The sequence below is a fragment of the Homo sapiens genome, chromosome 9, assembly GCF_000001405.40.
Source record: "Homo sapiens chromosome 9, GRCh38.p14 Primary Assembly".
In the NCBI taxonomy this organism is placed as follows: domain Eukaryota; kingdom Metazoa; phylum Chordata; class Mammalia; order Primates; family Hominidae; genus Homo; species Homo sapiens.
The window spans coordinates 19424351-19441002 of record NC_000009.12 but is presented as its reverse complement, the minus strand read 5'-3'; the positions used below and the strand labels follow the sequence as shown (position 1 = coordinate 19441002).

General features: G+C 43.7%; 1 protein-coding gene across 8 annotated transcripts in view; it reads right to left on the bottom strand.

The window, feature by feature from the left end:
• ACER2 (alkaline ceramidase 2) overlaps positions 1 to 16652 on the bottom strand; it is a 43497-nt gene that overhangs the window by 11503 nt on the left and 15342 nt on the right. For 7 of the 8 annotated variants that reach the window (XR_002956780.2, XR_002956781.2, NM_001010887.3 and 4 more), the window contains exons 3-4: positions 16162 to 16303; positions 5919 to 6056 (exon numbers count right to left, since the gene is read on the bottom strand). Coding sequence is in view for 6 of the 8 variants with exons in the window: in NM_001010887.3 (NP_001010887.2) it covers positions 5919 to 6056; positions 16162 to 16303 (280 nt within the window). In the remaining 2 variants the exon portion in view is untranslated. Of the gene's footprint in view, positions 1 to 5918; positions 6057 to 16161; positions 16304 to 16451; positions 16635 to 16652 lie in introns of all 8 variants that reach the window. The other variant, XM_011517859.3, reaches the window with a different exon arrangement.

Here is a 16652-nt window from a genome sequence, read left to right as displayed (position 1 = left end):
AAGAGGATGCCAGGTTTCAGGCTTCAGTAACTGGGTAAATGGTGCTCCCCTTTTCTGCAACTTGAAATATGATGAAGAGAATCAGAGCTAGAAAAGGCAGATCAGGAATCTGGGTTTGGTCAAGTTGAATTTGAGATGCCTGTGATACATGGAATTAGACAGGTTAGGCAGGCAGCTAGACACATAATAGTAGAGTTAAGAGGAAGGACTGGGTTGGAGACGTAAGTTTAGGAGTCATCCACATATGTAGAGGAATTAAAGCCACAGAAGTAGAGGAGATCTTTCAGGGGGACGTAAAAAGGGAGAAAAACAGTGTCTTAATCCATGCAGGCTGTTATAACAAAACATTGTATACTGGGTGGCTGATAAAAACAGAAATTTGTTTCTCATAGTTCTAGAGGCTGGGAAGTCTGAGATCAAGGTGCCAGCAGAATCAGTGTCTAGTGAGGGCCATTCCTCACAGATGACACCTACTAGAGCTGTGTCCTCACATGGTAGAAGGGCCAAGGCAGCTCTCTGGGACCTCTTTTAGAAAAGCACTAATCCCATGTAGGAGGGCTCTACCCCCACTGACTTAAACACCTTCCAAAAGGGCCCACCTCCTAATATCATCACCTTATTAATTAGTATTTCAACATATGAATTCAGGGGAGATACAAACATTCAGACCATAGCAAGCAGGGAGTTGAGGGTGCACCTTAAGGGATTCCTACATGCAAAGCTGTGTAGAAAAGTAGGAGTCTACGCAAGAGACTGAAAAGGAGCTGCCGAGAGGTAGTGGGAAAGCCAGGAGGATGTGTTATCACAGGAGCCATGGCAAAGAACATTTCAAGCATGGTGAGGAGAACTAATTGGGCGAGCAGCCGAGAGAATAATACATAAGATACAGGGGGGTCTGAAAACTGATCACTGGGTGTATAGCCTATAGAGAGGGATTTGGGTAACAAAGTAGGGGCAGAAACCAGATTGGCAAGAGTTGAAGAGTAAATGAGAGGTAAGGGATAAAGGGAGCTTTCTTTGGGGGCGGGGGGATGGAGTCTTGCTCTGTTGCCCAGGCTGTAGTGCAATGGCGTGATCTCCACATCTCCACGCACCACAACCTCCGCCTCCTGGATTCAAGTGATTCTCCTGCCTCAGCCTCCCGAATAGCTGGGATTACAAGCATCTGCCACCACACTCAGCTAATTTTTTGTGTTTTTAGTAGAGATGAGGTTTCATCCTGTTGGCCAGGCTAGTCTTGAACTCCTGACCTCGTGATCCACCCTCCTCGGCCTCCCAAAGTGATGGGATTACAGGCATGAGCCACCAAGCCCAGCCGATGGAGCTTTTAAAGAAGTTTGGCTATGACAGCAAGGGTGAAAGGGTAGTAGCTAGAGATGTGGATGTGGATTAGTCCAGGCTGGGTGTTTGAGAAGGCAGTAGAGACTCAGATGTGTTTACAGGCTGATAAGAAAGCCCCTTTAGGCTGGGTCTCTACTAAAACTACAAAAATTAGCCAGGCATGGTGGCACACACCTGTAATCCCAACTACTCTACTGGGGAGGCTGAAGCAGGAGAATTGCTTGAACCTGGAGGTGAAGGTTACAGTGAGCCGAGATCTTGCCACTGCACTCCAGCCTGGGTGACAGAGCGAGACTACGTCTCCAAAAAAAAAAAAAGCAAGCCCCTTTAGAGAGGGAGCAGCAATATAGAGGACAATGTACAGGAGTGAAATGGACATAGGAGAGTGGAGGGAATAATCAATTCGTAGAAGACCAACCCTAATGGAAGAAAGTTTACCTGCCATGAAACTACCACTTGTTAATGTGATGATGAAGACCAATTAGCTTTAGTGATGGCTAGCTTTTCCAGGGCAGAACATTTTAAGCATGAAACAAATTATTTCTTATGTAATTATTTACAAAGATTAGAATATTAAAGGAAAATATATTTCCTTATGTAAAGATCACAATTGTGAAGTAGAATTTATTTAAACTGCATAATAATCTGCCCTAACCACTTGTGTCCTCCATTTGCTCTTCTTTAGGTCTTATGAACTTAAAATATTTTCTCAGCTGGGTGCAGTGGCTCACACCTGTAATCTCAGCACTTTGGGAGGCTGAGGTGGGAAGATTACCTAAGTGCAGGAGTTCGAAGATGCAATGAGCTATGATCATGCTACTGCACTCCAGCCTGGGCAACAGAGCAAGATCCCATCTCAAAAACAAAACAAACAAACAAACAAAAAACCTTTCCCTTTCCCTTTTCTTATAACAAAATTATAAGCTAAAACATATTATTACACTCAAGAGTTACAATGAAACTAGACTGCAGTGAATTCTCAAGAAACAGAGCTAAATCCAGAACATTCTATTCACTTCAAGCCTAATATAAGCTAGCATCACTGGACTGCATGCTACAAATGGAAATCATTTCAGATGTTGTCACCAGCAATTTAATTATGTGTTTGCCAAAGAGCTTTAAGATGTGTTAACATCCAGAGTTGGCTAGAGGAGGATGCAAATGGAGCCAAAGGCCCAGGAGCCAGTCCCTCCAGGTCCACAAACACGGCAGAGAAGTCACTTCAACTAACATCTTCACCCAAGGCACATTAGGGAGAGTTCCTGGATAATAAAGGTAAGATCCCTAAAAAACAGATACAATAGGAAGAAGCAGATGATTTAGCTATACTTGCTGAAACATAGTGGCAAGGAAAAGGAAAGGCAACAAGTATTTGCTGAGATCTACCATGTGACAGATACTAGACTAAATATCTTATTTAATCCTTACTGCAAGACTATGAGATCTAAGTATTATTATTCAATTTCAAATAAGGACAGTAAGACCTAAGTAAGTGAAGTAAATGCCCAAAGTTTCCAGGCTAGTAAAAGCCTGAACTGAGACCCAAACTCAGGACTTTCTAGCCCCATAACCCATGCTCCACTAAACTGAGGGAGTCTCAAGAAATTTCATAACTCTGTATCTTGCCCAGTCATTAGCAAGATACAGACCTTTGACTTTTCAGAGGTAATGGGCACCATGGAAAATTCAGAGTTCCACAAAATAAAATTACTGCCTTTGAGAACACAACATCAGAGAGGAAGATGAGAAGAAAAGGAGATAAGTATCTATATTTAAGAGAGAATGCGCTAAGTACAATGTAAAAGCACAAAGAGTTTAGGAAGAGGGCAATTACATCTGGTTGAGGGGATAAGAAGGGGTTAAGAAAGGCCTCGTGAAGGAGCAGGTGTCTAGGATGCACATTGCAGAAGGGGTAGGATTTTGGAAAGTAGTAGTAGGAAAGGGCATTTCAGGGGGAGAAGAAAGTATGAGCAAAGATCTGAAGACCAGAAAACAAGGAGGTGGTCCAAATTGGTTGGTCATAGGACATGCAGAAGGAAACAGAGGAAGAAAAAGCTCTAAGGGAAGCTTAGACAACGAGGCGCCACTGAAGGTTTTTGTAAAGGATAAGGGAGTAACAGTCTGAAAGAAGAGATTGGAGGAAGAAGAGACTGGTTAGAAAGCAAATGCAATGGTCCTCTGGAGGGGTGTGAGGGTGGAGCAATGGATATGGGAGGAGGTGACAGATGAAACATTGCAGAGGGCGATTCCATGAAATCCAGCAATCACCTGAGGTGGCAGGAGATGAGGGACCCAATGATTGTAGGATTTCAAGTGTAATGGAGTCAGAAAATAGTGACACCATTAAAATCATTTGGGGACTCTAAGACAGAATTTGGGAAAGGCACTGAGGGAAATCGTAGGCAAACAGGGCATGCAGCCAAGACAGTAATCTTGCCTATTACAGTTTAGGAAGGCTCTGACTGGGATACCCAGCAGATAGCTGGGAATATGAAACTGGACTTCAGGAAAGAGACGAGGATGGACTGCAGAAAACCATGCAGAGTGATGACAGCTGAACACAAGAGGGTGAATGAGATTTTCAAGAACAGAAAAGGTTGAATACACAATCTTGGAGAATGCCTACCTTAGGAAGCAAAGGAGCAGAGTAGGAACAGTCAGGTATGAAAGCCTGTATTACACAGGATCAGAGAAGCCAAAAGAAGAAAATTCAGAGAGGGAGGAGGCTGACAGTGTCAGATTCTTCAGACAGCCAAGGATAGGGAGCACTGAAAACAAGCTATTCTATTTGGAAGTAGAAGGCCATTAGCACAGCCTAAGGAAATAATGTAATAAGTGCACAAAGATACACAAAGATGTTCATCACAGAGATATTTCTAATAATGAAAAACTGGAAACAACCTAAATGGTCAAAAACAGGAAATGTGTTGACTAATTAAAATAAATTAAAAGTAAATTACAATCCTACATGGCCATTTAAAACGAGGACCTAGATCTGTATTGATTTACAGAGAAGGAGGACTACAATACATTCCTAAGTGAGAAAGTCAAATTTCAGATTAACTCATACGAGAATGAGCTAATTTTTATTTAAAAAAAATACAGCTAGATTTTTTTTTAAAGATGGCAAAGAATAAAAAAGGCTGTAAGAAGATACAAGATACACCAAAAAGCTAACAGTCATTATCAAATGGCAGGTTTGGTTATTTTATTTTTATTTAGTACATAAAAACTATGAGCCAAGTACTATCAAATATTAATTTTCCTGAATAAGTGACAGATTTCTTTTTTGCTTGTCTATATTCTCCAATTTATCTACAAAAAAATATGAGCTACTTGATAAAATTAGTTTTTTAAAAAACGTCATTAGTGACTCTTGAATGAACATTTCAGACTAAAGATGGGGAGGGGAGCCAGACTGCAAGGGATTCAAGAAGGAAGGGCAGGCTGGCTGCAGTGGCTCACACCTGCAATCCCAATACTTTGGGACGCTGAGGCAAGAGGACTGCTTGAGGCCAGGAGTTTGAGAACCCCTGAGCACAGTGGGACTTTGTCTCTATTAAGAAAAAAAAAAAAAAGAAGGGCTTTCTTCTTTCTTCTTTTTCTGTTTTTTGAGATAGAGTCTCGCTCTGTCACCCAGGCTGGAATGCAGTGGCACAATCGCGGCTCACTGCAAGCTCCGCCTCCCGGGTTCACACCATTCTCCTGCCTCAGCCTCCCAAGTAGCTGGGACTACAGGCGCCCGCCACCATGCCCAGCTAATTTTTTGTATTTTTAGTAGAGACGGGGTTTCACTGTGTTAGCCAGGATGGTCTCCATCTCCTGACCTCGTGATCCGCCCTCCTCGGCCTCCCAAAGTACTGGGATTACAGGCATGAGCCACTGCGCCCGGCTTTTTTTTTCCTTTTTTTGAGACAAGTCTCACTCTGTCACCCAGGCTGGAGTACAGCAGTGTGATCTCAGCTCACTGCAACTTCTGCCTCCTAGGTTCAGGCGATTCTCCTGCCTCAGCCTCCTGAGTAGCTGGGATTACAGGTGCCCACCACCATGCCCAGCTGATTTTTGCATTTGAGTACACAAGTTCCCAAAAGAAAATGCTAATGCAAAGAGCAAAACCTTTACCTAATAGATTGTAAATGAGACATTAAGCCTCAGAGAAAGTATCATAGTCAACTGCAGTCCACCTGAAGTGCATATTTCCTTATAGATACAAACTCACTTTCCCTGCCCCCTTCCTCTTTTTCCTTCTGTGTGTGAATGCGATAACCTTTCTAGGACTTTTCTTTTCTACAGAATTAAGTCTAGACAGCTTGATCTAGGTACTGAGATGGTCCTGGTAAGCTAGCTTGTGATCAGTGGGATGCACTGCATCTGCTCAACAGCTGCTCCCCTCCTACTGAAAATGAGATTACCAGTATTTTGAACCAAACCATCAAATTGCTTCCATCCAACAGTCAGCAACTAACTCTTCACAAGGAATAAAACTCCTCTTCTGCTACAGGACAGCAAAGAAGCCCCGAACTGGTGTGTTCCCAGCACGGGGACAGCTAAGGGTAGGCAGGAATGATGGCACCTACCTCTTTAGCTCTGCGATGAGCAGTGCAGTGCAAGGAACTCCCAGGGTCATCAGAGAGATGTTGTTGATGGCAGGCTTGACAAATGCCAGGCACGTCGTAACCGCAGACAGGACACTGACCACCACCTTGAACCTACCCCTGAATCCATGAAAGCAAAACCAAATCCATTAGAAAAGGAGTTCTTGTTTGTTTGTTTGTTTAATGTTAGCAAGGTACAGGCATTGCCAGAAATACAAGCTGAAAAGAAATTCTGCGCTAAGTACCAAGGTTCAAAAAGCCACTCACGGCGACAGAGCGAGACTTCGTCTTAAAAAAAAAAAGAGAGGGTCTCCCTCTCATGCCGAGCCGAAGCTGGACTATACTGCTGCCATCTCGGCTCACTGCAACCTCCCTGCCTGATTCTCCTGCCTCAGCCTGCGGAGTGCCTGCAATTGCAGGCGCGCACCGCCACACCTGACTGGTTTTCGTATTTTTTTGGTGGAGACGGGGTTTCGCTGTGTTGGCCAGGCTGGTCTCCAGCTCCTAACCGCGAGTGATCCGCCAGCCTCGGCCTCCTGAGGTGCCGGGATTGCAGACGGAGTCTGGTTCACTCAGTGCTCAATGGCGCCCAGGCTGGAGTGCAGTGGCGTGATCTCGGCTCGCTACAACCTCCACCTCCCAGCTGCCTGCCTTGGCCTCCCAAAGTGCCGAGATTGCAGCCTCTGCCCGGCCGCCACCCCGTCTGGGAAGTGAGGAGCGTCTCTGCCTGGCCGGCCATCGTCTGGGATGTGAGGAGCCCCTCTGCCTGGCTGCCCAGTCTGGAAAGTGAGGAGCATCTCTGCCCGGCTGCCATTCCATCTGGGAAGTGAGGAGCGCCTCTTCCCGGCCGCCATCACATCTAGGAAGTGAGGAGCGTCTCTGCCCGGCCGCCCATCATCTGGGATGTGGGGAGCGCCTCTGCCCCGCCGCCCTGTCTGGGATGTGAGGAGCGCCTCTGCCCGGCCGCCACCCCGTCTGGGAGGTGAGGAGCGTCTCTGCCCGGCCGCCCCGTCTGAGAAGTGAGGAGACCCTCCGCCCGGCAGCCGCCCCGTCTGAGAAGTGAGGAGCGTCTCCGCCCGGCAGCCACCCCGTCCGGGAGGGAGGTGGGGGGGTCAGCCCCCTGCCCGGCCAGCCGCCCCGTCCTGGAGGAGGTCAGCCCCCTACCCGGCCAGCCGCCCCGTCCGGGAGGTGAGGGGCACCTCTGCCCGACCGCCCCTACTGGGAAGTGAGGAGCCCCTCTGCCCGGCCAGCCGCCCCGTCCGGGAAGGAGGTGGGGGGGTCAGCCCCCCGCCCGGCCAGCCGCCCCATCCGGGAGGTGAGGGGTGCCTCTGCCCGGCCGCCCCTACTGGGAAGTGAGGAGCCCCTCTGCCCGGCCACCACCCCATCTGGGAGGTGTGCCCAACAGCTCATTGAGAACGGGCCAGGATGACAATGGTGGCTTTGTGGAATAGAAAGGGAGGAAAGGTGGGGAAAAGATTGAGAAATCGGATGGTTGCCGTGTCTGTGTAGAAAGAGGTAGACATGGGAGACTTTTCATTTTGTTCTGTACTAAGAAAAATTCTTCTGCCTTGGGATCCTGTTGATCTGTGACCTTACCCCCAACCCTGTGCTCTCTGAAACATGTGCTGTGTCCACTCAGAGTTAAATGGATTAAGGGCGGTGCAAGATGTGCTTTGTTAAACAGATGCTTGAAGGCAGCATGCTCATTAAGAGTCATCACCACTCCCTAATCTCAAGTACCCAGGGACCCAAACGCTGCGGAAGGCCGCAGGGTCCTCTGCCTAGGAAAACCAGAGACCTTTGTTCACTTGTTTATCTGCTGACCTTCCCTCCACTATTGTCCTATGACCCTGCCAAATCCCCCTCTGTGAGAAACACCCAAGAATGATCAATAAAAAAAAAAAAAAAAAAAAAAAAGCCACTCACACTCACTGGCCTAGGAATTCCACTTCGAGAAACTTAGCCTTAGGAAATAATCAGATATTTTCAAAATTATTTGGCCATGAGAATGGTAAAATTACAGTCAACCTACTTCACTGAAGGTGAGATATGGATAGCTGTTTTCTTCGTGCGATTTTTCCGTATGTTTTCAGATGTTCGATTTCTCTGTATTTTTTCAGACGTTCTACAGCAGGGTTTAACAATTTTTTTCTATGAAGGGTTTTTGGGTTTGGGCTGGGTATGGTGGCTCACACCTGTAATCCTAGCACTTTGGGAGGCCAAAGTAGGAGGATGGCCTGAGCCCAGGAGTTTGAGTTTACAGTAAGCTATAACCTAAAAATAAAATAAATTTTATATATGTATATTTTTAATTAAATATATTTATATATATGTGTAAAGAATATATATTATATATTTTATATATAACTATATTATACATATCTATATATAGCATAACTATATGGTTATAAGTATAATTAAATATGTGCATTAATAAATATGTGTAATTATATTAAATAAAAATTATATTTAATAAATCATATATATACACACACATACACCCACACACACACACATATATATATAGGTTTTGCAGGTCCTAAGGTCTCAACTACTCAACTCTGTCATTACAGAGAATAAGTAAATGAAGGAGCATGGCTGGGTGCCAATAAAACCTGATTTGCAAAACAGAACCCTTTTGGCCCACAGGACATAGTTTGTCACCCCCCGTTCTACAAAGTGAACATGTATAACTTTCATAAGTAAAACAGAGACCATTCACAAACCATAAAGCAACCTAGTTTAAAAGAAAATTTGTCCTACATGTCTAGCACACCCAAAAAAAGTTTTAAGAAAAAATTCCAATAGACTAAGAAAAAATAGTCTATATTTACTGACAACCTACAAGTCTAGTATGCACTAGAATTTACATCGACAAGTTTTTGAAATGACAAGTCTTAGACAAATAATTGATACTATCTTCACACCCCTCAGTGGAGGTCATTTCAGTAGAAAGAGCCGGAAGTGGCGACGTGATCCTAGACACGCTCTTTCTTCTCTCCCTGGGACCCATTTCCTTATCTGTAAAACGAAAAGGCTGGACTAGATGATTTCCAAGGCCTCATTCATGACTTCAATTTAGGAGTACATGATTTTCCTGAAGTTTCTGTTATTCCTCATTAGCACAATTTACTTTGGCCAAGAGCCCCTGGAACAGGTCACAGTTAAGAAGCCAATTTGAATGAAATTCCATTATAAAGAAATCAAAGGGCATTGAACCCTCAAAATACAAATTTATCTTTTAAATACGAAAGCCATTCATCATCAAGGCACAGGAAATCATTGATCAAACTGCCAACTTTCAGACTGGAATGAACAGGAATTATAGCTCTGAACCTCTACCAGAGGAAAAAATATATGTGGGAAAGGCTCCAGGCAGCTAATCCTCAGGAGAGGCATGTTTTTCTCCTGGCCTCGGCTGCTGTTCTTCGTCTACTGGAGGAAAGGCCGCCTGCTCCAGCCTCAGGGTGAGGGCCCACAGCCATCACGTGCAGGGCCCTTGGGGACCCACAATAACTCTTCCACTGGGTTTGACGCATGCCAAGGCAATTGGGCCTTTTTCATTAGGATAAACACATAATCAGAAATGTCCAGAGTGCGTCACCTCTCTGTACCCAAAGTGCATCACCTCTCTGTACCCAGCGGTTTAAGAATTACGCACAGGTCAGAGAGGGTAACAGAGTGATTCAAGGCATAGGTGTTCCAGTGAGACCGATATGCATTCAAATCCTGCCTCCATTGCTTAGTAGCTGTGAGACCTTTGGCAAGTAACTCAACTCTTTGAGCCTTTCCCACATAAAAATTAAGACACTCTGCCTCACAGTGTTTTTGTAAGCATTAACACAGTGCCCAGTACATATTATGTACTAATAAAATTCATTATTACTGTTATCCTTACCATCATTTTAAATATAAATACCACTTTAAATAATATTATTGTTGTTGATATCATACTCTCAGGGAAAACGTAACTGAGCTGCTGTTGCAATCACCAAAGGCTCCACAGAGTACTGCCAAATGGTTTAAAGGCAGTAAGCTTGAAAAAAACATGGGTTTTTGTTGTTGTTGTTGTTTGGTTTTGTTGGGTTTTTTGTTTTTTTGTTTTTTTTGAGACAGAGTCTCACTCTGTCACCCAGGCTGGAGAGCAGTGGTGCGATCTCAGCTCACTGAAACCTCTGCCTCCTGGGTTCAAGCGATTCTCCTGCCTCAGCCTCCGGAGTAGCTGGGATTACAGGCACCTGCCACCACCCTAAGCTAATTTATGTATTTTTAGTAGAGATGGGGTTTCACCATGCTGGCCAGGCTAGTCTCAAACTCCTGACCTCAGGTGATCCACCTGCCTCAGCCTCCCAAAGTGCTGAGATTACAGGCATGAGCTACTGCACCCAGCTGCAAAACATGCTTTCTTTAGGGAGGCCATCTGCAGATGCCTCCCCACGTCAAGTCCAGAAGGTGTACAGGAATGTGCTGGCCAACAAGGACATCCTGTGAACACAAGCAGCCGGGAGAAGTAAACAGAGGCTATGTGGCCAGCAGAAAACCAGTCAGCCAGCCCAGCAGACCCCAGAGTCAACAGAGGCCCTGGGTACAAGAGAGCTAGAAATATCCAGGAGTAAGAGGCCCCAACAGGGTGTTTTTCTAAACTGTGATTGATGACAGCCTCTGGTCCTGTTTTCAACTTTCCAGCCCATTAGGGTCTCACACTGAAACACAAGGTCAGGAAACCCTTAGCATCACTGCTTCCTGTATTCTCTAATCCAAAATCTAACAACCCAGTACCATCATCAAAATATTTTTATAGTAAAGCTGTTACTGTTATCATTTACTACCCTTTAAAGTAGTGGTTTTCAAGCCTATAGCCTGTGTCCCTTTTAACCAAAGTAAAGCTTTGTTTTCAGACTTGAAAACCACTATCATTGGCTTTTTTACACAGTAAAAAGGGACACAGGGTATAGGCTTGAAAACCACTATCATTGGCTACTCTTTAAAGCAGTGATAATTTCATTTCATTTCTGAAATGAAATGAAATTTATAGATGATAAAACCTCCCATCGTAATGACCACCAAAAACATGTCCACAAGCTTTATAAATGTCTCATAAGAACTGGAAATGTCCCTGGTTAAGATCCACTGCTATAAGCTACCAAAACATAATCTATTTAGAACAGCCAGCCCTTGATAGTTACAGCAATATAGCATTTGGTCATGAAACGGACCTCAGAGAGCTACTTCAACCCTGTTATTTTATAACTAAAGCACTAAGGCCCAGAGAGTTTAAGATTCCAGCCTCAACTCATCCAGGAAGAATGCTAGCAGGGCGGGCAGATCCCAGACTGCTCCCTTGCTATTCAAGATTCAAAAAATAAAGTGGATTTTATCTAAAGATAAAATCATAAAAACTATAGCAGAATAAATTATTTAAGAAGTGGATACAAGGTTGGGCACAGTGGCTCATGCCTGTTATCCCAGAACTTTGGGAGGCCAAGGTGGGAGTATCTCTTGAGCCCAGGAGTTTGAGACCAGCCTGGGCAACATGGTAAAACCTTGTCTCTACAAAAAATACAAAAATTAGCCAGGTGCAGTGACAGGCAGCTGTGGTCCCAGCCACTTGGAAGGCTGAGGTAGGAGGATCACTTGAGCGCAGGAAGCAGAGGTTGCAGTGAGCCATGACTGTGCCACTGCACTCCAGCCTGGGCAACAGAGTGAGATCCTGTCTCCAAAAAACAAAACAAAAAAAGTAGATACAATTAGCCTATAATAGTTCCTTGTTCTCATTTTTTTCTTAAAATAAAAACTCTAAAAATTATTAATAACCATCAGCAATTCAGTATATGTCCTAAAGAGTCTCAGGACATTTTAGGCAAGATGAAAGAAAGTTTTTTTCTATAAACCCAACATTTATATCCTATTGACATAATGAACATTAATAATTTCCCTACATAAAATATGTACAACTATTACATATCAATAAAAAATTCAGGCCAGGCACAGTGGCTCATGCCTGTAATCCCAGCACTTTGGGAGGCCGAGGCGAGCGGATCATGAGGTCAGGAGTTCGAGACCAGCCTGGCCAACCTGGTGAAACCCTGTCTCTACTAAAAATACAAAAATTAGCTGGGCATGGTGGCAAGTGCCTGTAATTCTAGCTACTTGGGAGGCTGAGGCAGGAGAATCATTTGAACCCAGGAGGCAGAGGTTGTAGTCAGCCAAGATCGCACCACCGCTCTCTAGCCTGGGTGACAGAGCAAGACTTCATCTCAAAAAAAAAAAAAAAAAAAAAAAAAAAAAAACCCACTTGTCCATAAGCCATTCATAATAACCACCAGAACTTACTGAGTCTTTACTCTGTGTGAGCCATTGTACTATAGGCCTTACGTAATTTTCCCATGTATTTCTGATCCCATCAGGAAGATACTTTTGTCATCTCCAATTTATAGACAAGCAAAACAGGGTCCCAGAGCCTTTTTTTTTTAGGTTAATTGTTATTCAAAGCCATGTTGTCTGATCCAAACTTACTTAGCCACCACACTCTCCTGTCTCTTCTCCAAAAATCTCACATTAAAACTGTTTTTAATGTGTGTTTAGAATATTCCAGCAAAGGCCAGATATGGTGGCTCATACCTGTAATCCCAGTACTTTGGGAGGCCAAGGCAGGCAGATCACCTGAGGTGAGGAGTTCGAGACCAGCCTGGCCAACATGGCAAAACCCCGTCTCTACTAAAAATACAAAAATTAGCCACATGTGGTGACATGCACCTGGAATCCCAGCGACTCGGGAGGCTGAGGCAGGAGAATCACTTGAACCTGGGAGGCAGAGGTTGCAGTGAGCCGAGATCGTACTATTGCACTCCAGCCCGGGCAATAAGAGTGAAACTCTGTCTCAAAAAAAGAAAAAACAAAATGAAACAAAAAAGAATATTCCAGCAAAGTCTAGATCAAGAAAAAAAGAAAAGAAAAGAAAGAGAAAGAAAGAGAGAGAGAGAGAGAAGGAAAGGAAAGGAAAGGAAAGGAAAGGAAAGGAAAGGAAAGGAAAGGAAAGGAAAGGAAAGGAAAGGAAAAAGGAAAAAGGAAAGGAAAGGAAAAAGGAAAAAGGAAAGGAAAGGAAGGGCATGATGGCTCACACCTGTAATCCCAGCACTTTGGGAGGCCAATGTGGGCAGATCACAAGGGCAGGAGATCGAGACCATCCTGGCTAACATGGTGAAACCCCATCTCTACTAAAAATACAAAAAATTAGCCAGGCGTGGTGGCGGGCGCCTGTAGTCCCAGCTACTCGGGAGGCTGAGGCAGGAGAATGGCGTGAACATAGGAAGTGGAGCTTGCAGTGAGACCAGATTGTGCCACAGCACTCCAGCCTGGGCAACAGAGAGACAGTCCGTCTCAGAGAAAAGAAAGAAAAGAGAAGAGAAGAGAAGAGAAGAGAAAAGAAAGGAGGGGGGGAGGGAGGGAAGGGAGAAAGAAAGAAAAGGAGATAAACGTTTACTATTTGGTAAGTTCAGGCAGAAAAACCGGAAATCCCTGATCTACAGAAATCCTGGTTTTGACATGAATTTTTTGGTCTGGTCTGCCACTTCCACTGCAGAGCTGCCACCTGTCCCGTGTCATGGGGAGTGAAGTACAAGCAAAGGGGCTTGGCCTTCTTGCCCTCCCTGGTCACTGGAAAATTGAAGATGTGCAAATAGACTTGAAATCCTTTTTTACTTTTCCCTTAACATGTACCTTTTATTTCTTTGCTCATTAAAATTGTCAATGTACATTATCTCCATCGATTTGTATGCATATCTCAGAAATGCTAGGCAGAACTCTCCTCTCCATGCCCCAGGCAGTCAGGAGAGCTAACTTTGACTGAGCCCTCTCCATGTTGCTTAGTATTATGCTAAGTGCCCTACAGGATCGTCTCAAAGATGAACACTATTGTTTACCTAATTTTACAGATAGGGAAATAGAAAGAGTCAAGACAAGTCATACAGTCTGCAAGTTGTAAAGCTAGGATTCAAACCCAGATTGCTTCCAAAGCCAGGGATATATACACATATGGTACCCAGTGCCTCCAAAGGAGGACAGAGTGGCTATATCTTCACATCTTCCCCAGAGAAATGCTGCAGGCTGCTGGTGATGAAAAAGTCCCAATAGTCACAGACAACTCTGCCTCACAATATGCTTTCATTATTTTTTTTCTATTTTTTTAATGGGGTTTCACTGTGTTGCCCACGCTGGGCTCAAGAGATCTTCCTGCCTCAGCTTTTTGAGTGGCTGGGACTACAGGCGTGCACCACCCCAACTGGCTCTGTTTTCATTATTAAAGTTGGTAAGCTTTAACTACCAATGTCATCACCCCATTTTCTTCTTTCCTGCTCAAACAACTTTCCCCCTACCTCCAAGAATCAAGAAAAGAAAAGAAAAAAAAGGTTTTCTATAAGGAATACATTAAAAACTGTCCCTTGGAATTTCAACCCAGGCCTCAAGAATGTCACAAACAAATACACAAAACGTTTATTCCCATTTCTTCAATTTCTTACTCAGACTTGAAAAATAAGATATCTGAGAAAAGCGATTCCTCAGCTCTCAATCTAACGTACACCAGGTTTAGAGAAAGCATCATGGTGACTGGTGGGTATCTTTCAAGACAGGAGGGGAAGGGGAAGGGAGGGGAAAGGAGGGGAAGGGAAAGGAGGAGAGAGAGAGAGAGAGAGAGAGAGAGAGAGAGAAAGAGAGGGAGAAAGACAAAGACAGAAAGAAAGAAAAAGAAAGAAAGAAAGAGAAAGAAAGACAGAAAAAGAAAGAAAGAAAGAGAAAGAAAGAAAGAGATTAATGTGTTAATTTTGTTTTTTTTTTTTTAAAAAAAAAGTCAACCAGTTCAGATGAAAGGTAAAAGCGGCTGTTCCTCTCTGCTGGCAATGCCCAAGAACAGCCAATGGCTGTAGTTAGGTGTCCTCACCTCCCAGGCATTTTTGTGCTAATACAAAAACATACTCAGAAAGAGTTTAGTTCATTCATTCTAAAATTAGGATATCACACATAGAATTATATAATGTGCCCCTTGCAGCCAGCATTTTTCATAGACGCTTCTCCATTTGAGTCCACAGATAGCAGCAGCCTTAGTCCTCAGCAGCTTCACAGCTCCTGTTCCTTTTCAGAGTGCCAGTAAAACTGTAATGAATTATTTTCTTTTCCTGGTATAACTCTTCCATGGGCACATACCGTTTGCTTCACTGAATCCATAGTTTCAGACTATTTAGCCATATATGTATATTTTGACAAAACAGTGTCCTACAGAAAATGTGGGTAATGTGTTCCAGGAGCGTTTCTCATCTTCATTGGGCTGAATCTCCTCTGTGCCTCTAGATAGTAACAAACCTCACACAGCTCCTCAGAAAGACTTTCTCTGACCAAACTCTAAATCAGCACCCTAAGTCACCACTATACCCTTATCAGCTTCACTTTTCATCACAGTACCTAACATATCCTAATATTATATTATTTACTTGTTTGTTGATTTGTAATCTCCCCAACTTCAGTGTAAGCTCATTAGAGGAAGACTGCTGTTTTGTTTACTGTGATATTCCAGTGCCTAGCAAAATGCACAGTAAAATATAAGTGTTCAAAAATATTTGCTGGATGAATACCTGTATAACCCTAACACAATGGCTATTAAAATGCATCCCTTCCTGAAATTCTGGGTTTCCAGTTTGAACATATATACAGTATATGAGTGTGTATGTGTGTGTGTGCACGCGCACGCACGCAGGTGCACAGCTCTCATCTGAAGCAAAAAAAAAGGCAACTTGAAAACTACAGTATCTGTAGCTCCAAGAACCAGTTCATCAGTCTGGATTCTACTTCATATGTATAAAACTGGTGGAGTTGGATTAGTCTCAAGGAAATGTTGTAGCAGAAAATCAAAGAGTATTGAATAAGCATTCAGTAATGTCACCCCCACTGAAGGTCTTTCCACTCTTGCTAATTCTTAAACCACTGGGTACAGAGAGGTGATGTACTTTGGGTACAGAGAGGTGATGCACTCTGCATTATTAAAATTCTCTCTTTAATCTGTCAGTTTACTTATATTGTCAGATCATAAAAACAATCAGTAGATATTGAACAAGTATATGATAAGCTCATCACTAGGCTGAGTTCAATCATGTGCTATTTTTCTTCATATATACATTGTTATATTGGGTACTGCACCTAGTGGTAAATGCAATAATGTTTAGTGCAAGCTTACCGGTCATTCCGAAAGATCTTTGGTAGATACCTTCTGGGGAACCACATGGCCAAAGCACACATCAGAACCCAAAGGACTGCAAGTTCATCAAGCATCTGACCCAAGAAACTAAGGGTTGCATGGAAGTAGACGGATCCAATTCCTAGAATCAATTACAACCAATAAAAAAAGGTCACCACAGAAGAGACACAAATTCAATACACTGCTTAAGGATAGTCCTTTCACCAATGGTTAACACAGTCACCAGATCACTCTCTCTCTGAAAAAAGAAACTGAAGAAAGAAACTCACACCACCCAAGCATGCATGCCTCCAGTCTAGAAAGAAGATTTCAACTAGGGCCCAAATATCAGCACATCAGAACTTTAACAATTCCACAGTTAAACGCATTCTGTCTTCATCCACTGAGCCTTTCTGGGAAGAGGCAGTAAATAAAAGTCAACATTCCTTCACTGTTAAGAATTCCCAGGCTGCCTGTGGGAGGAAATGGAA